Source organism: Homo sapiens, chromosome 8 (assembly GCF_000001405.40).
Source record: "Homo sapiens chromosome 8, GRCh38.p14 Primary Assembly".
Lineage (NCBI taxonomy): Eukaryota > Metazoa > Chordata > Mammalia > Primates > Hominidae > Homo > Homo sapiens.
In genome coordinates, this window is record NC_000008.11 from 58,171,657 (window position 1) to 58,194,071 (window position 22,415).

General features: G+C 39.0%; 1 long non-coding RNA gene across 1 annotated transcript in view, besides 1 other annotated feature; it reads right to left on the reverse strand.

Annotated features, from left to right (window-relative positions):
* Positions 848-1,374: an enhancer, noted in NCBI's record as "H3K27ac hESC enhancer chr8:59085063-59085589 (GRCh37/hg19 assembly coordinates)". NCBI's record gives its function as "activates a minimal SCP1, AML or CMV promoter by ChIP-STARR-seq in naive H9 embryonic stem cells {active_cell/tissue: H9 hESC(naive)}" and the evidence as "EXISTENCE:reporter gene assay evidence [ECO:0000049][PMID:30033119]".
* Positions 19,997-22,415, reverse strand: part of LOC107986945 (uncharacterized) — a 52,355-nt gene continuing 49,936 nt past the window's right edge. The window contains exons 3-4 of the long non-coding RNA XR_007060915.1: positions 20,603-20,745; positions 19,997-20,057 (exon numbers count right to left, since the gene is read on the reverse strand). This is a non-coding gene — a long non-coding RNA (uncharacterized LOC107986945). The remainder of the gene's footprint in view (positions 20,058-20,602; positions 20,746-22,415) is intronic.

The window sequence follows — 22,415 nt, forward strand, 5'->3', positions numbered from 1 at the left end:
AGATCTAAGGCAAGAGAATGAGAAATCTCACGAATAAAGATTATATTTAACTGTAAATGCCCCCCCCCCACCCCGCCTTGTCCTAGTGGCTTCCCACAGAAGGAGAATAGACAGTATTTTGAACAGATGAGTGAAAAACATCAGCATACATAGGTTATACCTAAAAGTAAATAGCATTCATGTTCCCTTAACAGACCCAAATCTAACACCAAAATGCAATAGATTTGTGTACTGTAGCATATCTAGAGGTCTAAATGTTTTTCTTCTTTTCTAAGGAATACATTTCTATTAAATTTCCATGAATACTTGATATACACATATTCATGGATTTTCAATTTGTCTGCTTCATAAGCAGAAGGCTAATAGTATAAAAACATGGAACTTATTAAAACACCTGAATCCCAGGCCATTTGGTTTATCTTGAATACCAAATAGAGTATTGGAATGTTTTAAATTAAAGTGCACAATTCTTACCACCTTGATGAGAGTCTTATATTCTGTACACAGACTAACTAATGAAATCACAAATCATGGAAGAGTTGAGAAATAAGGTGTGATAGGGCCTTTTAAAAAATAATTTACTTCTCAAGATGCAAGTAAAAAAATGGAAGTAAAAAAAAAAAACCCCCACCATGATTGTTTTTATAACACACATTACAAGGGACCCTTGTTTTCCTCTATGACACTACAAATGTTCTTATTTTATATTAAAACAAGTTTACCTACTAGTTCCAAAAATCAATGTGTACAAGTTTAATTGGCTTTATCTCCTCTCTAGTCTATTGTCTCTTTTCTTCTACCTCCTGACCAATCCATTTATTCCTTTGACTTTGCAGTTTGACAATGGCAATGGCAATTAGCTAATATTCTGTTATATTCAGTGACTTCATGGTAGGGCAGGAGGAACAAGCCTATATCCCTGAGGGAAGCAGGAAAGGCTGTGCTGCCACACTTGGCGGGCTCCTGCTCCTGCTGCAGCTCCTTTGAACTCCTGCTCCTCCCCCAGGTAACTTCTCCCACTGCCTGAGGCCTTGGTGGTTTCCATGACCCCTAGCGTCCCATGCAGCAGAGACGTGGTCATGCCTAGCATTGTGTAATCCAGATGTGGATTCCCTGAAGTTCAAAGCACCACCAAACAAGCCCCTCCCCTAGAAGGGCCCATATCTCCTCCAGCTACACGGCCTTGTTTTTCTGTCTGTCCAAAACCACACTTTTCTGACAATGGCCTACGTTCCCTGCGGCTGCTTTCTCCTGTCCCTTTCACTTCTCAATTTGCTACAGTCAAGCTTCTGACACTTCTGGTCATTGAAACTACCCTTGTCAGGGTGACCAGCGCCCCTCGTATTGCCATATACCATAGACATTTCTCAACTCTCGACTTCCTCGATTTGCAGCAGCATTTGGCATCGCGCACTTCCTCCCTGGGCTCACTTTCCTCCCTGCTTGCATTGTCTGACGCCACAATCTTGTGTCCCTCCTGCTCTGCTGGCTGCTGTTTCTCAGCTTCCTTTGCACTCTTCTGTCAAACTCTAAAAACAGTGGAGAGCTGGAGAGCTTGCATTGGAGTGCATTTTTCTGCTCTGCTTTATTTTTCCTATTTTCTCATTCAGTCTCATTTGTATGCTGATGACTTACACATTTGTATCTTTGGCTCCAGCGTCTCACCTGAGTTGGAGACATATTAAACCCACCCTCTGCTTGTTATCTCTACTCATCTAACTTAAAACCAAAATTAAATAAACAAGCAACAACAACAAACACCAACTTCTTGATTTAACTTCCCAGCGTATACCATCCCCCTGCCATCTTCCCTATATCAGTGATTGGCACTGCCATTCCCCTTTCAATCAAGTCCAATTTAGGGAGCTATCCATTTCTTTTTTCTTTTTTTTTTTTCACTATTCTCACATCACATTGCTAAGTAAATTCTATTAGCTTTACCCTCAAAATGTATAACAAATCTGTTTACTTCCCTTCACCTGCACAGCTTACCACCCTTGTATAAGATATTGTCTGTTGCCAAGAATCTTGCACCAGACTAGTGGTTCTCAAAGTGTGATCCCTGGACCCGCAGCATCTGCAGCACCTGGGAAATAATAAGAAATACAAATTCTGAAATATTGAATCAGAAACTCTGAAGGTGGAGGCCAGCAATTTGTGTTTTAATAAGCCCTCCTGTGATTCTGATGCATTCCTGAAGACTAACATGCCTTCTGCTTCATTTTTGTCTCAGATCACACTATCTTACAAATGAAAACTTTCCAATGGGCCGGGAGCAGAGGCTCGTGCCTGTAATCCCAGCAATTCGGGAGGCTGAGGCGGGTGGATCACTTGAAGCCAAGAGTTTGAGACCAATCTGGTCAGCATGGCAAAACCTGTCTCTACTAAAAACAAAAAACAAAAACTAGCTGGGTGTGATGGCACACACCTGTAGTCCCAGCTACTCAGGGGGCTGAGGCAGGAGAATTGCTTGAGCCTGGGAGGCGGAGGTTGCAGTGAGCCGAGATCGCATCAGTGCATTCCATCCTGGGCGACAGAGTGAGACCCTGTCTCAAAAAAAGAAAAAAAAGAAAACTTTCCAATGGCTTACAATTTATCCTTTCTAATTTCTTCTTTACATTATATTCTAGGTGTTCTGGTGCATTTCTATATCTTTGATCTCATAACATATCGTCCATCCTTCCCACACTCCTTCTCATGGACATCTTCATTCTTTGACTACACCAAACTCACGCCTACTTCTGTGCTCACACTGACTGTTTATTATTTCTGAAATCCTCTTTGCCAGATTCTCTCATATCTGACACTTTCTTATCGTTTAGCTTTCAGCTGAAATGTTAACTCCAGTAGGAATCTTCCCTAACCTTCATATCTGCACACCATTTTGTATTGCATTGTTCATAGCATTTATCTCTAAAAAGATTATATTACTCATTGATTCACTCAATTATTGTTTCTCTCTCCCAACAGAATTTAAGCTTCAGTGGAGCAGCGATCTTATCCACCTCATCCATTACTCTATTGCCAATGCCCAGAACAGTGCCCAGAACACATACCATGAATCAGGGCATGAAAAGCTGCATTAAATACAGAATAACTGTGTATACTCCACAGGGCTCAAATTGCTTCTCCTCCACGAGAGACACACCAGTCTGTGACTGGCTGTCAACCCAAAATGTGATACTTAATTGGAACTCACATTGGCCACTGCTGCTGACAGTTCAGCAGCCAGGTGACCACAGTAAGTCCTCAATTAATGGTGGCTGGTAATTGCAATTTCATAGGGCAAGCTTCTACCTTACACTTCTTTTATCCAAATGTTCTTCACTTCTTGAGCATGTATTATTTTAGGTGAACTTTAGAATTCTTTTCCATTTTCCAAAAATCTCTGAAAAGGTTATCCAGAATTCCTTTACATTTATAAATCAGTTTGGAATTTAATAAGGGCAGTAGAGGAAAAGATCTGTATTTGGACATGCAAAAGGGATAAAGGTAATCTTGGAACAATTTCCCACTGGCTTACTTAATACTCGACATACTTAAATACCTCCTAATAGGTCCCCTTGTAAGCATTTTAAAATTCGCAATTTTCAAATATTTAGTGGGGAAAAAAAACAAGTCTTCCCAAATGGCTTGTGAGATTTTCTCATAGGAAGAATTCCAAGAAGAATATGTAATAATAGTCTACATTTCCATAAAAAGTATGAGATATTTTGATGTGTTGGTTACATCTAAGCCTGGAAACTATAATCAGAAATCTGGTCTTTGGAGCTTTGTGTGAAAAACAAATCAGTTTCAAAATGATTCCTTTAAAATATTTCTTATATTTTAAGTGAGTTGCTTTTTTGGTGTGGCAGCTGTATTAACGTTGGCTGGAATTCCTTTTCTAACAAAAGAGTTCACAACATTTTCTTGTTTGGCAAAATAAATAAGATGCAAACAAAATACTTTCATTATGTTTTTTGAAAGGTAGGAGGAAACTACATATGTGGTAGATGAGAATGTTTTAAAAATACAGAGTTCTTAAAAAACATAAATTAGGTAGTTATAATTACAGAGATATGAAGATTCTCAGTTTTGCTTACTGTCTTGAGGCAGCTTACTTAATAAATTATTTAGTAAACTTACAGATGTTGTTAATTATATTAGCATCTAGAATAATTAATATTAAATGGCATTTCTCTGGCATGCCCACATTAAGAACGACTGGTGTTAATCTAAGAAATTGACAAATATATATATATATGTTATGAATATATATTTGATTTAATATATATTTGATCTAATATATATTAGACTTACTGTAATATATTTGGTTTTATTCAAAATAATTTACAAAATATTTTACTATGTAAGCCTTTATCCCTGTGACTCCTAAAGACTCTAGTAAAAAAATCAAAATATAAAATTATTTGATATTCACTTAACAGAAGACTCATATTAGAGCACGGCCTTTCTTTTTAATTAAGTTTCTATTGAGGAACATCATATATACAGTAAAGTGCACCAGTCTTACTTGATGAGCCTTAATATATGTGTAGCATGAATGAACTCTGCCCCTCTGCCAGCTCAGATGACATTTCCAGTATTCCAGAAGGCTTCCTCACACTCCGTCTAGCCAATATTCCCAGTCAGATAACCACTATTTTTATTTCTATTACTATAGATTAGTTTTGCCTGCTCTGGAACCACATGTCAATGGAACATCACGTACTGTCATGCACTGCCTAACAACATTTTGGTCAATGAGGGACCAAAAAAATTGATGGTGGTCTTATAAGAAAGTGATATGATATTTTTACTGTTCTTTTTCTATGTTTAGATATATTTAGATACACAAATTTTTTTTAATTTTATTATTATTACACTTTAAGTTTGAGGGTACATGTGCACAATGTGCAGGTTAGTTACATATGTATACATGTGCCATGCTGGTGTGCTGCACCCATTAACTCGTCATTTAGCATTGGGTATATCTCCTAATGCCATCCCTCCCCCCTCCCCCCACCCCACAACAGTCCCCAGGGTGTGATGTTCCCCTTCCTGTGTCCGTGTGTTCTCATTGTTCAATTCCCACCTATGAGTGAGAACATGCGGTGTTTGGTTTTTTGTCCTTGCGATAGTTTACTGAGAATGATGATTTCCAATTTCATCCATGTCCCTACAAAGGACATGAACTCATCATTTTTTATGGCTGCATAGTATTCCATGGTGTATATGTGCCACATTTTCTTAATCCAGTCTATCATTGTTGGACATTTGGGTTGGTTCCAAGTCTTTGCTATTGTGAATAGTGCCGCAATAAACATACGTGTGCATGGGTCTTTATAGCAGCATGATTTATAGTCCTTTGGGTATATACCCAGTAATGGGATGGCTGGGTCAAATGGTATTTCTAGTTCTAGATCCCTGAGGAATCGCCACACTGACTTCCACAATGGTTGAACTAGTTTACAGTCCCACCAACGTGTAAAAGTGTTCCTGTTTCTCCACATCCTCTCCAGCACCTGTTGTTTCCTGACTTTTTAATGATTGCCATTCTAACTGGTGTGAGATGGTAGATACACAAATATTTACTATGGTGTTACAATTGCCTACAGTATTCAGTATAGTAGCATGCTATACAGAAGTGTAGCTGAGGAAGAGTAGGCTGGACCATATAACCTAGGTGTGTAGTAGGCTACACCATCTAGATTTGTGTAAAGACACATTCTGATATTCACATAATGATGAAATCACCTCATGTCACATTTCTCAGAACTTACCCCATGGCTAAGCAATGCATGACTATAAATGTAGTATGTATGTTTTTTTGACTAGCATCTTTCATTCAACACTATGTGAGATTCATCCATGTTGTTGCATGTGGCACCATTCCATTTTCGTTTTTGTAATTGAAAAGAAACAGTATAAACTTGGAGACAGTTTAGAGAAGAATAAGGAAATCGTTAAGGCCAGGCACGGTGGCTCACCCCTGTAATCCCAGGACTTTGGGAGGCCAAGGCGGGCGGATCATAAGGTCAAGAAATCATGACCATCCTGGCCAACATGGTGAAACCCCGTCTCTACTAAAAATACAAAAATTAGCTGGGCATGGAGGCACGAGCCTGTAGTCCCAGCTACTTGGGAGGCTGAGGCAGTGGCTTGAACCCGGGAGGCGGAAGTTGCAGTGAGCCAAGATCGAGCCACTGCAGTCCAGCCTGGCGATAGAGCAAGAAACTGTCTCAAAAAAAAAAAAAGTTAACATTTGGTTCGTTGAGCATTAAGTCTGCATATACATTCAAGTTCTGGATCCCCGAATGAAAACCACTGGTGTTATCTCCTATCTGTTCCCAAATTTCACATCTCCAGAATGCTTATGTCATGATCTTCCTAGGGACCTCAAGTCAGACAAGACCTGTCAAACTGGACATATAGCAATAAGTAAAAAAGGCTAATGGTTCAGGGACTCGTCTTACAGGATAAGGACAATGGAAGATTTTTCAGACTAGTTCTTGAATGAGTATCTTGACTTTTGTCAAGGGAGCAATTCTCATTTCCACTGAAAATATGGTAACAGCTTAGAGTCTTAGATTGTTTAGGGGATGGTGCCAAGATAAGGATGAGAAGGATTTAATACCTATAGAATTATGGAATCATATAAAAAGGGATTATGCTAGCTACTTCTCTGCAGACTTTGGAAAAAATAGGAAATAGGTATGTCTTAAAAGCACAATGAAAATGTTCAACTTTATATAACAATAAACAGAGGCTGGGCACAGTGGCTCATGCTTGTAAACCCAGCACTTTGGGAGGCCAAGTCAAGCAGATCACTTGAGGTCAGGAGTTCAAGGCCAGCCTGGCCAACTTCGTGAAACCCCGACTCTACTAAAAATACAAAAAATTAACAGGGCGTGGTGGCATGTGCCTGTAAGCCCAGCTACTCAGGAGGCTGAGGCAGGGGAATTGCTTGAACCTGGGAGGCGGATGTTGCAGTGAGCTGAGATCACGCCACTGCACTCCAGCCTGGCTGACAGAGTGAGACTCCATCTTAAAAAAAGAGAGAGAGAGAATAAACAGGTATTAGAATAATAATAAAGAGAAATTTTAACATTAAAATTGGCAAAAGTTAAAAATATACCAATATCAGTGCTGGCCAGAGTGTGGGGAATGAGCCCTCTAAAACACAGTTGGTTGGATATAAATCAGTACTCCATTTCTTAAGAACAATTTGTCAGTATGAATCCAAAACCCTAAACATCTTTATACTCTAGTTAAGTAATTTCATGTCCAGGAATGTATTTTAGGGAAACAAAGATGAAAACAGTTATATGCACACTTATCATAAAATTATTTATAATAGCAAACATTTAAAAATGCAAATATCCAAATAAGCAGAGAATAATAAATATCATAATAATATGATGGAATATTATAGAACCATTTAAAAATACTTTTAAAGGAATATTTAATGACAGGAGAAAATACTTATGAAATAATGTCAGGTGAAAAGAAAGACATACAATTATAAGAAGCAAATGTCAAAAGTTGTTGTTTGACCCATGTAATGCTTTTAAAATGAAGCTTCCAGGGACCTTGATGCTCTGACTTTCTTCAGCGCATCACACTGGTCCCTATATTGATAACACTGTGCTGATTGAACCTGGTAAACAAGAAGTGGCAAGTAATCTGGGTGCCCTAGTGACACACAGGGAGTCAGAGAGTAGCAGATAAACCTTGTAAAGCAGGAGTGGCCTGCTGCATTGTAAAATTTTAAGGGTCTGGACAAGCCAGATTATCCCTCTTATGATAAAGGTCAAGATACCACATCTTGTACCCCTGTGTTAACAAAAGACTGTGAGATCCACGAGGAAGGAAAGGAGAAGACTTTATTTTCAGAAGGAGAAGCAACCCATAGATAAGGAACATAGCTTCTGGAGAAAATCAAAAGCGTATGTTCCACAGAAGAGAGTGAGGAGAGTCAGACTTACATACATATGGAGCAGGATGAGGGAAAATCTATGAATATTGGTGAGGGAAATCAGTCATGGGCACAGTGGGCATTCATATATGTAACATATTTTATGTTCACTTTCGGAGTTTTAGCATTAAAATTAGGTGGAATTCAACTCTTTACAACAAAAGGTGAACTGTAGAACACAAAGACAGTTTGTGTGCAGCCTCCATAAGCTGGCTGAAACTGGCTTGAGATCTGCAGCTATTCATTAATAAAGAATGTCTCTAAGACCAGCCCTTTGTCCAGTCCAAGTTGTGGCAGGAATGGCAAGGTGGGGAAAGGGGGTTGTGTCGGCTTGCTGGCATCTGGTGGTTTATCAGGGTCAGGCGGGAAAATTTCCAGCTGTAGTTGTTTTGGCAATGCTTTTCAGGACCTGGCTTCTGCTTAATTACAGGAAAGAAAACTTATAGCAATTAATGAAGGATATATGACTAATCCTTCATCCTGCTAGCCATGAGATTCGGGTTTATTTTTGGTGTGTCTCATTTTGGGTGCAGGTAGTTCATTTTGTCTGTCTGTTAGGGTATATCTTAATACCTGCCATGTGAATGTGGAGACAAATTGCACCACGCTTGGGACTACTGCTCCAACCCATTCTGCAGATGACTTAGAAATCTGCCTGTTTTGAGTGGGAGACCTCTGCTGTGGTCTATGCCCTGTCACTCAGGCTGAATGGCCCAGGCCACCCAATAGTGCTAGAGGATGCATCGTGTGGCAGTTCCCAATTCAAGAGTTCAGCCCAGAGCCTAGAGTCCCTGCCTCCTACAGCAGAGAACGGTTTGAAGAGCAGCTTTTGTGTGCTCCTGGGCCCTAGGAGAGATTGAGCATTTGGCAATGGGACGTCAAGTGACAGTGGCCCAGTCTGCCCAGCATGGGCTGAGACTTGTCACAAGCCAGAGCAGGCCAAGAGCAATTCCTTGTGCTGTGGAAATGGTGCTGGAGGATCTTGCCAGAGTGGGGCCAGAGAGCAGAAGGAAGGCAAATAAGTGGGTTCCTTCCCTAGCTCTATCTGTGGCCTCAGGGATATGGGGAGGGGAGGAGAAACCTGGGGCTCCTCCTGGATAGTTCAACGTATTTGTGTGAGCTGAAAGTGGACTGTGACCACACTGGAGCCAATTTTGACAAATGGCAACTTCCATGTAACCCACCTCTATCAAGACAGGCCATCCACTTATAGGGAGTGAGTTTGTATATGAACTTACTCAATGACAGGTATACAGACTAATCTCTCAAAAATCGTATGCTTCATAGGAAAATAGCACTCTATAATGCAGTACTAATTTTAAATTACTATGTCTTTGTTATAGCCAGATTATTTAGCTTGAATAAATGAAAAAAACTTGTAACTTAGCTAGTAAACAATCACTAGAATTCTCAGGCCAATTTTTAATGAACTGTTAATATACTATGCATACACATATTGGTATATATGGAGTGTCTGTGTGTGTGTGTGTATGTGTGGGTGTTTTATTCTTGGTACTTTACTATATTTCTCAGGTTAAAAATTTATATGCCTGTTATTGGATGCATAACCCACTATTCATATGCATCTATCATCTATCTATCTATGTACCTATCTAACTATCTATCTACCTATCTATCTATGTACCTATCTATCTATCTACCTATCTATCTATGTATTAAATATCAATCATCTCATTTGTTTTCTGGTATATTTATGCTCTTTTAGGGAATGATTAACTTTCGGGTCATACAAATTTTTGTCCTTTAGGTACTGACTTTAGGTACTCATGAAGTTTTAGTGACAGTTTGTTTGTGTTCAGGAACAGAAGGAATATAATGGATTTGTGACTGGATTCCTTGGTATCTAATTTGAATTTTTCATTTACACAGCTGGTTTTATTTGCTCTGAGGTATTATTGCAAAGAAGGATAGAAGAAGCACATGTGTTACGCTAAGCTCCAAGCTCATTTAAACATTTTATCTTCCAAATCCTGAACTACAATTGACCCCTTCAAAGTTCAGATTTATATTTACTCTTGGAATTATTAAAATTCCTGTTTTTATAAAAGAAGTCATAGAAAAAAAAATCATTGGGAATAAAATCTGTCTCCCAAATCCTACTAAGTAATTATAAGTGGAACTAAAATAATTGACTTAATTTTTCTTAAATAACTGTAGAAAGATGTGAGTTAAATATACAAGTAAAGCAATTCCATATTTGCTAGTAATTCATTTGTTTAAAACATAATTCATGTTTGGTGCAATTTCTTTATTATCCAGGCTCTTGATTCAACAGAAGTCAGGCAGAAAGGGTTTCTTGAATTTTGTTTTATCTTCTAATATTATGAGGCTTATCTTTGAATATTTAACTTTATGTTTTGGTGATGACTTTTTCTTTTATAGTGTCTATTATAAAGCTACTAGAGAAGAAAATATAGTGATGGAACCATATAAAGATACATCAAATACATCATGTGGAGTAGTTTATATTAATCTTAAGACTAAAAGTTACTCCCAAGTGGGATATTCTGAAGCAACAAATCATCTCTTTGGGTATCATTTTTTGTTTTGTTTTGTTTTGTTTTGTTTTTTTGAGACAGAGCTTGCTCTGTCACCCAGGCTGTAGTGCAGTGGTGTGAACACAGCTCACTGCAGCCCCGACCTCCTGGGGTAAAGTGATCCTCTTGCCTCAGCCTCCCAAGTAGCTGGGACTACAGGCATGTGCCACCATGCCCGGCTAGTTTTTTAATTTTCTGTAGAGATTTAGTCTTGCTATGGGTATCATATTTTTAATCTAGTTTTATTTTAGAAAGATGAAGTTTATTATTTGTAAAACTACTGTTTTCCCCCCAGAGGCATAGTTGATCACCTATGGAAACAACAGAAAACATGCTTTCAGCGAACCTTAGGAGTGAACGCTGTGATTTGCACGGGCATTAAATGCTATAAAGGATTTTTTCCTTGCCGCAGTAGTCACTCTCTTTATTTGTTTATCATACCCTTAGAAGATCGGGTGGAAAAAGTTAAGGAGGAAAAAGATGGTTTTTGTCAAGACAATGGCAGGACCAAGAGCGTGAAGGCAAGAAACACTGGACATACATCAGGAAGGATCTGCATTTTGGCATGGCAGGACCTGGTGGTACAGGCACCCAGGTGGGCAGATGTGATGTGATGGATGGAGGTGGGTGCCAGAGCACAGAGGTTCTTGGATGCAGAGTAAGAGGGACTTTGCTTTGGGGGTCTATTGAAAGAACATATTTTTAAATAGGTCTTTAGCATAAAGAGCGACTGCTCTAGGAAGATTACTCTAATACATGTTTATTCTGTTATTCAACAAATATTTGTTGAGCTTGTACAATGTACCAGATGCAGTCTAAATGCTGGTCACACAGTGAGGCCTTTGTATGGTTCTTTCTCTAAGTCTAGTGAGACCATATAGAATGAATTGGAAAAGCAAGATAATCAGGGTAGTTAAGAGATATTTTCTGCATTACAGAAGAGAAAAATCTATGCTGAGTTCGTGGCAGTGGGAATGGGAATGGGAATAGAGCAACTGGGCCTGGCTGGAGATAAAAACCCACAGAAAATGGACAGAAATTGACAAATCATTTTACGTGAAAGAGTAAGGGAAGTTTAAAAAGAAAGACCTCAATAATTTGGTAAATTGGAGATACCATAACACAAACAGCTATCCAGCAAATAGAGGCTTTTGAAGAACAATGTGGATTAAGACTGGTATGAACTGAGTTCGGAGGTCTTATGAGATATCTAAGACGGTCTGGAGTTGAAGCAAGAAGTGCCGGAAAAGGGTGACAATATGATTCATCATCCAAACTAGGACCCCTTGGAGATGAAACAGAGCACTATTAATAACTACACCAGGACAACAACATAAATGGGAGCACTCTCAGGAAACCCAGTATTGATGGTGGAAGGAAGGTTATAATCACCCACATCATGTGGTAACTGACTTTGTTGCCACATTGTTAAGGGAGGATGTGGAAGGAGAGGAACAGAGGATGAATGGCCACAGCCACCCTGTGAAATAACTCATTAGATTGTGACTTGGGACACATTGCATTGGGCTGTATTCTGTGAAGCTTTCCACAGATGGATAAGAGGCTTTGAGAAATCTAGGGTTAAATACCCCATTTACTCTTTAGCAATCTGTTTTGTAGTTATCATTTTGCCACAAAAAAAAAATAGAGGAGAGGAAGAGATATATAGGTAAGTATAGTAACTCTTTAAATTGTTAAATTTTTCTTTTTTATATCAAGTACTAGGCTGGAGGTAGGTGCAGCCCTGGCCTGGGCCCTTGAAGCAACACTGTGGGTGTGAGATGGATGTGACAGGCCAGAGGGAAAAGCACGGTGACTAGGTATGCTTTCCATACGAAGATAAGGCCTGCAGAGGAGGGGATGTAATAATGAGCTATTAAGGGTCAGTAATGATGTGCTTATTGACAGGAGCCACTCATTTCCTTGTAGTGTTCTAGTTGCCAAGGATATGTGTTAGAAAGTATGTTAATAACTGTGAAGGAGGTGCTGAATGAATATATGTCTAGAAAGCCTAATTTAGATACAACCGTGGACACTAACTGAAGGCCCTTTAAATTTTCATCCATTAAAAATGAATTTTTTTCCCTCAGGAATAATGCTAATTAGTCATAAAATCTTACCATAATATGCTTGAGCTGGATCTTAACAGTTTGCAAAAATCGATTGTTAAATTTTCAGAATTTTCAAGCTTGTTGCTAAACATAGCCATTATTAAAAATTACATATTATGGCCAAGCACAGTGGCTCACGCCTGTAATCCCAGTGCTTTGGGAGGCCAAGGGGGGTGAATCACCTGAAGTCAGGATTCGAGACTAGCATGGCCAACATGGTGAAACCCTGTCTCTACTGAAAATGCAAAAAAATTAGCTGGGTGTGGTGGCAGGCGCCTGTAATCCCAGCTACTCCGGAGGCTGAGGCAGGAGAATCACTTGAACCTGGGAGGTGGAGGTTGCAGTGCGCCAAGATCGCACCATTGCACTGCAGCCTGGATGAAAAGAGTGAAGCTCTGTCTCAAAAAAAAAAAATTACATAATATAGTATTATGCAATGTTACATTACATTATTATATTATGTAAAAAGGTATAAACATTTAGAACTCAACATTTTCTAATAGCTTTATTACATTTTATTGTACTCTCTGCTATAGTAGTATTCATATGGTAGAATTATTATAAGATTGTGGGTACTTGCACTTCTTTCCAGTTCTATACTCTGATGCCAGGTTGGCAGTTTGAAATCAGCCATGGTGGGTATATTTATACCAAAGATATAGGCAAACACTACAAATCAGGACAGCCCCTCCCCAAACCCCAAATATGGCTATTAAACATTTACTTAGATAGATAGTATCTATCATTTCATCTGTATATTTTACAATAATATAATAATATTATAACAGACAGATTGTTAAATGCTTCTATAGGACTTCCTTTTAAAAATGAACTCTCAAGAGTGAAAGCACCACATTAGTATTCAGTCCAATAAACGACTGTTGAGGAATTGCCTGATCATTTCCTTAAATAAAAGCATTTTTTAAACCAGTATTTCTCTGGGAAAATTTCACTTTAGTAATTATGTATTCAGACAACAAAACCCAGAATGAATGCTGTTTCGGATTAGAAAATGTATTTTATTCTATATTCCTGGATCGCAGGCAATGAAATTTCAATTTTCTGAGAACTGGCTTTTCCTAAATTAATTGTCTGCTCAGCAGACTTACTTGGCTCTTTAAACATTCTGAGTATTATTTTTGCACTTGTGTTTACCATCTTATCACTTTGGTGATTGTTTTTCTTGATAAAAACATACTAAAAGAGAAAACTTACTTAGGAAATCCAAATTAATTTATTTCAAACCACAGTCGTTTTGCCTGGCTATATTAATATGCCAGAGCTAAATGAACTTATTATTTAATTTTTTTAACCAATGAATGTGGTCCAGATTTGAATAGCAGAAGCCCCAATATCATTGCCCCAGGAGAGCAAAGCCAAGATCTTCTGCATTCCTTCACAAGGAATCCCAAAGAAATGCTAATTAACTAATTTAGGTTGTAAGTTTACAGTAGCTCTTTATGTCTGTCAATTTTATGTGTTAGTATAGATTTCATTTAGACCTTTTATCAGACTGGAAAACCTAGCAACACTTGAAAACAGTTGATTTAATTTTCTCTTCTTTCCACCTGTATTAAGAGGCATGTAGGAGACTTGAATGCATAACAAATGCATTTTAATCAATAAACCCTAAAATTGGTTTCAATATATTCAGAACATCAAAAGGAAAATGATGTATAGGTGATGACTCATCTCTGATCTAGGATAATTTAAGAAAAAGATACAATTTTATATAAGACGTTAAATATAGCCATTACTGGAGTTGGCAGGCTCCATACCTACCCTAGATCAATGGAATCTAATAGGAAGATGTAACTCTAATGGCTCTTCCAAGCCATCTTATTATTATGTGGGCACTTTCAAGAGGCTATCCATGTGAAGAGATCCAAATATAAGATTCTAGATCTTACTGTACCATTTAACTGAAGCTTTTGCTGTGGCTCCTGGCTGCAGCAGTCACAGCAGACAGGGAAAACTTTGAAGCTCCTCCTATCCCTCCACAGATTTTTGACAGGGTTTTGAGTCAGAGGATATAGCAAAGGTGTACAAGAGCACAGGAAAAATAGGATAACAATTTAGACATAGAGAACAATTGAATCTCTACCTGCTCTTCCAAAAAATATTTTCATTATTGAACCTAAAAAGTGTTATACTTTAAGCAACAAAACCATTATCTAACTAACTGCATAGTTACAAATTTAAGAAGTGCAAGCCTCAAGCGGAAATTTTTTTTCTAGATAGTGCATTCTCCAAACTCATTTCAGTAATATATGAATCCTGTGAGTTTATAATCACTTTAATAGATAACTAGAAAGATAGATGATATATTAGATGATAGGTAGGTAGGTAGATAGATAGATAGATAGATGATAGATAGATGATAGATAGATAGATACCACTGATATGGGTTGTCTCTGTGTCCCCACCCAAATCTCATGTTGAATTGTAATCCTGAATGTTGGGGGAGGAACCTGGTGGGAGATCATTGGATCATGGTGGCGGATTTCCCCATTGCTGTTCTCATGATAGTGAGTGAGTTCTCAAGAGATCTGGTTGTTTGAAAATGTGTAGCGCTTCCCCCTTTGCTCTCTTCTTCCTCCTGCTCCCTCCAGGTAAGACATGTTTGCTTCTCCTTCGCCTTCCACCATGATTGTAAGTTTCCTGAGGCCTCCCAGTCATGCTTCCTGTACAGCCTGTTGAACTTCAGTCAATTAAACTTTTTTTCTGTATAAATTACCCAGTCTCTGGTAGTTCTTTATAGTAGTGGGAGAATGGACGAATACAGACACATTTCTTTAAAGATTTATAACTAACACCATTTCTCTTCCTTTACTCTTTGCCCATTCCCTGTGGGATCTGAATGAATGTTCAACGTACAATACAAGTATCTAAGCAAAGCCCCCTCCCCACCATTTTAAAATTTTGGTTCCATGCCCCAAACCCTATGGCCACCTACCCAGGATGAAGACAGTTTTCAGCTGAATACTCCGTGGATGTCCTAATAGGAGTCCAGGCTAGCCTTGGGCACCAATTCACAGTTTCTCCCTTTATCCTGGAACTCTCCCAGGAAGAGACACTGCATTGCACAGTGTTGTGATAAAAGCCTCCTAGGAGGAGCATCTTAAACACAGTACATATGGAGGCACTTGGCAATACCCCTCACTAAGAGAGAGCTGTTGTCAGTAAATCAGGCTCTTTCTATTATGAAGTTCATTTTATGTTGCTAAGGGAAAAATAGCACTGAATCATTAGTCATCTAGAACATTTTTTTTCAACATAGAGAGCAACAAAATGTATCTCTGAGGAAAATTAATCTGAGGCTACATCTGTGGACTAAACTGAATGTTTCTGAGTCTGGAAATTTGATTTAAGAAATTGTTTTTGCATAAATAGATTTATGCTCACATTGTCAGGTAAATAGAAGCAATACATCACCTTCCAGCTAAAAATGGGAGGAAGGTCAGTTGGATGAGGATAATTGGGGAGAAGTTATAATTTTTCAAATGAAATTATAGGATAAAACTTGGGGCTTTTTTTTTCTTTTTGATTTCAACAGAGAAGAAAGAAAATTATAAATACTTTCAATAATGAATTTGAGCTCCATGCAACTGACAGTAGAAGTGAGATTAGCATATATTTTGATTGACATTAGAAGTCTATTCCTGTTTATTTAACTCTGAGTTACCATTATTTTGATATTAAGTTAATGGAGAGGGAAAAGACACACCATCATCTTGTCAAGCTAAGCAGAGAAATAGATCTGATTTCCTACTGGGAAATTATAAACATATCTTCTTTCCTGTTGGGATAAAATCAGAGCTGGAGTTCATTTCCTATTGGGGTTATGCTGGCTGTCTCTGACACCGTAAGTCTAGAAGTAGTGATATTGTTTATATATCAAAACTGTGATCATGAAAAACATATATGTAGGAAAAAAATGCAAAGGGAAGCCTAGAGTATGGGAATATGAGATAGTCAAATGCATATGTGGGAACTTAACTGCATTTTGAGAGTAAATTCTTGAATGTGCATACGTAGCATGTGCTTTTCTTCAGATGGTTAGTTTTTTCCTGTCTGTGTCATTTTTTCTTTATTATAGCTAAATGAGTATTTATTAAAGGCTCATTTTATTGTATTAATACTGAAAATATAGATTTGCCTTTTTTTGGTTAAATGTAGTCACATGTCTATCATAAGTGAAGAATATTTGAAGTTTCTGAGCTTTACAGCACAAGGCATGGGATTATTTTGGCTTTTTAAGAGTGGGATCATTTCTTCACTTATTGTTGTTTAAGTTTGAACAATTTCATTCTCCTTATAATGATTATAAGGACATGAAATTTAATATAAACACTTCTGTTTATTCATTAAAAAGTAGTTACTATAAGCCTGCTATGTGTTAAGTGCTATTCTAGGTTCCAGGACACAGGGGTGAATTAGACAGTTATTAACCTCATAGGGTTTACATTCTAGGGGAGAGTCTAGAGAATTAAAAATAAATGTATAATGCTATGGTCACTGTGATACATGCTGCAAAGAAAAAATAAAACAGAGTAGTAAGATAGAGAATGTCTTGGGAGGAGAAAGAGGTAGTCAGGAGACATTTCTTTGAGGGGATGACATTTGATCATAGGATATTTGCTGACGACAACAAAGTAATAACCACAGGTCTCTGGAGGGGCATCTCAAGCTAAGAAAACAGTGAGTATAAAAGGCCTGAGACAGGGAAGAATCTTGATGTCAAAGGAACAGGAAAAATGCTGATGGGGCTAAGCTGCAGCAAGAGAGTCTGATTTTAAGATGGAGTCAGAAAGACCAAAGCCAGATTATGAAGGGAATTTTTGTTTCATTTTGTTTTGTTTTATTTTTTTTTGAGACAGAGTCTTGTTCTGTCACCCAGGCTGGAGTGCAGTGGCCTCAAACTCCTTGCTTAAGTGGTCCTTTGCCTCTGCCTCCTAAGTAGCTGGGACTATAGATGTGCACCACCATACCCAGCTATTTAAAAAAACATTTTTTTTTTTTTTTTTTGCAGAGGTGAGGACTCACTATGCTGTCCAGACTGGTCTCAAACTCCTGGCCTCAAGCCATCCTCCCTGCTCAGTCTCCCAAAGTGCAGGCCTGAGCCACCAAGGTGAACGGTGTTCTTGATCATGTAAAGGACTTTGGATTCTCTTCTCAGCATGATGGAAAGCCACTGGAAAACATACCACATAGAAATGACATAAGCTGATTTATATTTAAAATAAAATCCTTATGATTGCCATGAGAAGCGTTGAATGTGAGGTGGGGAAGAGAGAGACGGGGGCAAGAGTAGAAGCTAAGACGACCAGGCAAGAGATGATGATGGAGACTTAGGCTGGAGGTGGCAAGATGTCACTCTTGGCCATATTTCAAAGTAAGATTTGCTCATGGACTAGTTGTTACAAGACAGGTGAGTAATGGGGACAAGGCTATTTGTAGGATTATAAGTGAAAGAATAGTTGCTATTTATGAAAACAGGAAAGACTGGGCCTTGTTAGGTTTCAGATGCCTTAGAAAATGAGACTTAGAATTCTGAGAATTGGCTTGGGCTGGAAATATAAACTCAGTAAACATCAGAATATAGATGATAATTAAATCCAGGGGACGGGGCAAGTCCCTCTAGAAGTGAGCATATATAAATAAGAGGTCTGAGGACTGAGCACTGAGCTCTGAGACCTACAATTGCATGATTGAGGAGAGGAGGAGCCAGTAATGAAGACTGCAGTGCCCAAGGAGGTAGAAAGAACAACTGGAGGTTACAGTGTTCTGAAAGCCAAAAGGCGAATGTGTTTCAAGAGAAAAAGAGTGCTTCCTATGTTGTACACTCCCAAGAGGCTGATGACAATGACTTTGTGAGCTTGCCAATTGCATTCTCAGTCTGGAGGCATGGGTAAAGCCGGTTGAGGAGAGAACTCAAGACAAGAACATGTAAAGAATTTGTAGAGACAACTCTTTCTAAACGGATGGTTACAAGGCCACACAGAACAGGCTGTGGCTGAAGGGAATGGGGATTCTTGGAAGAGCATTTTAATTTTTATGGAAATTATTATAGCACATTCATCAATGGTCATGATCTAGGAGAGAAGGATAAAGTAATGAAATAGAAAAGGAAGGGAATAATTACAAGATCGAAATCCTTGAGGAGGTGAAAGTGGACAAGGTCCATGATGGTTAATTTTAGGTGCCAACTTGACTGGATTAAGGGATACCCAGAAAGGTGGTAAAGCATTATTTTTGTGTTCATCTGTGAGGATGTTTACAGAGGAGACTGGCATTTGAATCAGTGGACTGAGTAAGGAAAATTCACCCACACCCAATGTGAGAGCCTAGATAGCAGAGGAAAAATTTTTCTCTCTTTTCTGCTGGAGCTGGAGCACCCTTCTTCTCCTGCCCTTCAACATCAGAACTCCAGGTTCTCTGGCCTTGGGACTCTAGGACTTACACAGGCAGCACCCCAAGTTCTCAGGCCTGTGGCTTTAGACTGAAATTTACACCATTGACTTTCCTGGTTCTGAGACCTTCATACATGGACTGAGACATGCTATCGGCTTCCCTAGCTCTCCAGTGTGCAGGTCACCTATGGTGGGACTTCTCAGCCTCCATAACCACATAAGCCAATTTCCCTGAGACATCTATTCCCCTCTCATACATCTACCTCTATGAATATATCCTATTGTTTCTCTTTCTTTGGAGATCCTGTCAACTAACACAAAATTCAACCCACATGTCAAGTGGTTGGCCTCAGCTAGGAGTAGACCTAGTTAAGCATTGTAAAAAGAGGCAGGCGGATCACGAAGTCAGGAGATCGAGACCATCCTGGCTAACACAGTGAAACCCCGTCTCTACTAAAAATACAAAAAATTAGCCAGGCATGGTGGCGGGTGCCTGTAGTCCCAGCTACTCAGGAGGCTGAGGCAGGAGAGTGGCATGAACCCGGGAGGCGGAGGTTGCAGTGAGCCGAGATGGAGCCACTGCACTCCAGCGACAGAGTGAGACTCCATCTGAAAAAATAAATAAATAAATAAATAAATAAATAAATAAATAAATAAATAAGAGGGAACACAGAGAAGATGGGCAGAGATGTCAACAGGTTGTTAGATGTGGTGGTGGCTGACAGGGTAGTTCTTTTTCTGATAATTATTTTATAAGCTAAGAATGAGAAGAGGAAAGGGGTAATTGGAGTTTTAAGGAAAGAGAAGATGTGCAATAGTAATCTGAGATAATGGGAGAAATAAGGCTTACTTGAAAGTAGTGGTCATGTGTTTAAGTTGAGCATCTTCAGCTTAAGTGTGGGTTTTTGTTTAGCCTACTCTACTGCTCAGGGCCAGTAAAGAATAAATGGAGAGCTGGAGTCCTTCCAAGTGAGTAAGTTGGAGAGCGTCTTGGACACAGGCTCTCAAACTTTTCCTGCAAAGGGTCAGACAGTAAATATTTTAGGCTCACTTTGTAACCATACAGTTTGTCACAACTACTCAATTTGCCATTTTAGTGCAAAAGCAGTCATAGACAATACATAAACAAATGGTGTGGCCAGGTCCCAATAAAACATTACTTATAAAAACAGGCAGTGAACTGATTTGTCCTGAGATCCTTAGTTTGCTGGCCTATGGTCTAAGGAATTGAGGGTGCATGCAAGGAACTATTGTATTAATGGCCCATGGACGCAAAGCTGGATAACATCGGAAGTGGGCACACAAGAATGTGATGGGTTGCAAATGGCTTAGAGGTCTAGATGAGGGCAGTAAATTATTGGAATAGGGGTACTATTTAAAAACAACTGGAAAGAAAGAAGTTGGTGCTTAGAGTGTTTGCAGGTTGACATCTAGTTGTTAGAGGTGAAATCATCATTGGATAGGAGCCAAAGGAGGACATGAATCTAGGAGCCTTGGAGATGGGGAAGCAACTTTTAAATGTTTTGGTCTAAGTCTTGATGAGGGAATGGGAGGTCTTACCAGGAACAAGTGCTGCTCTGGAGACATCTCTCAAATCAGGGGCAACTGGAGCTTTGTGCACCTCCTTTATAGATTCCCACGAACAGCAGGATGGGCTGACTTCTCCTGGGATTCAGATCTCTGGGATTCTCCTCAACACTATGCTGAAATGAAGGCATGGTCAAGTAGAAGTCATTTTGCAGGAGTCTGTGTACCCTAAAGTCTCACTTCAAATCATTTGTTAGTTACTTCCAGTGTATCTGGTACCACATCTCTTTCTAGATTATTATTTGCTAATATTCTGTGAGGGGGGAAAAGAAGACAGGATGATTATTATTCTTGAAAATTCACCTCAGTTGATAATGTCTACCAAGAGACATTCTTGTCATTCCTTTCTCGAGTAGTGCAGTATTTAGATAGAAAGTATTTATGTAATTGTAGAAAGAGTCTTGTTGTTAGGAAATTTGATGGTCATTTCTGATATAAAATATTTTTGAAAGATAACTTCTCGGATTAACTCATCTCTTTGCTTATTCTTTCAGTTTATGTGCTAGGCAGATAAAAACATTTAAGGCAAAGTCTCTTCCCTCAAGATACTCAGGCTAGATGTGGAGATGAGACAGGAATAACACAGGATGGTTGCAGGAGAACAGAAAACTCCAGGCAGCAGTTCCACATGACTAGCAAAAGGAAACTGTCGAAATAACTATAGAAGCTAGGAGCTGATAAGACCCTGAAAAACAGGGTACAGACTAAGCTGGCTAAGACCAACATGGCACTGAATTTTACCTAGGTTTCACCTAGGACCTCATTATATACTAATAAACATACTGAATCACACACCCACCAATACCACGACAGTTCTGGGGAAATCCATATTTGGTATAAAAATGGGTGACACCACAGTTCTGAGAAATCTCCACCTTTTCCCAGGAATCTTCATGACTATTCCACCCTTGGCTAAAGAAACCCATGAAGATAGAAACCCCAGTCCCCATTACATGGCTCTCTTGACTATACCCACACTCCCTTTTCTTGAGAGTACTTTTCCCTTTGCAATAAGTCTCCATATTTTCATATTTTCTGACCTTGAATTCATTCTCATGATGGTGTCAAGAGCCTGGACACCAGCTGGAGTTGAGGTCCCAGAGGTGTCTCAGGACCTCCCTCGGCCCACTGGTGTCAAAGTGGATTACGTAAATAAATAATTGCAAGATACCCAATTAATTGCTATAACAAGGCAAAGAAGAGTAATTCATTTGTTTATTCATCATAAGTTTTATTTTTACTCTTTTCTATATGCCAGGCAGATAAAAATAAATAAGATATTTTTTTTGCTGTCAAGGTGCTCAGAGGCTAGGTATGGAGATGGTTAGATAAGCAAATGACTGCAAGCTACTGCATGCATTGCTACCATAAAGAAGGTACAAATAAACCACAGTGATAGCACAAAGAAGGTTGGAATTGACTCCACATGAGAGGTACAGAAAGGCTTCACCAAGGGGAAAATCTTCAACTGGGTCTTGAAAGATAGTTAGGATAGCACCAAGAGTGGAGGAACATACCAGGAGGAGGGGATTAGCAAATGTGTAGAGTCTGATGATAGCTAGAGCATTGGGACAATAGAGGAGAAAACAGGACATGAGGCTGGAAAGTTGGTGGGACCAGGGAATGGGAGGATGGCAGTAGGGGGAAGTTAGACCTTCTCAGCAAGGCTCTGGAAGACCTGGAAGGGCTTAAATCAGGGAAATAAATATCAGATTTACATCTCAGAGAGAAAATGGAGAAAGGATTAGAGGAAGGTGAGTCTGGAGGCAAAAGTTTTCCAGTTTTA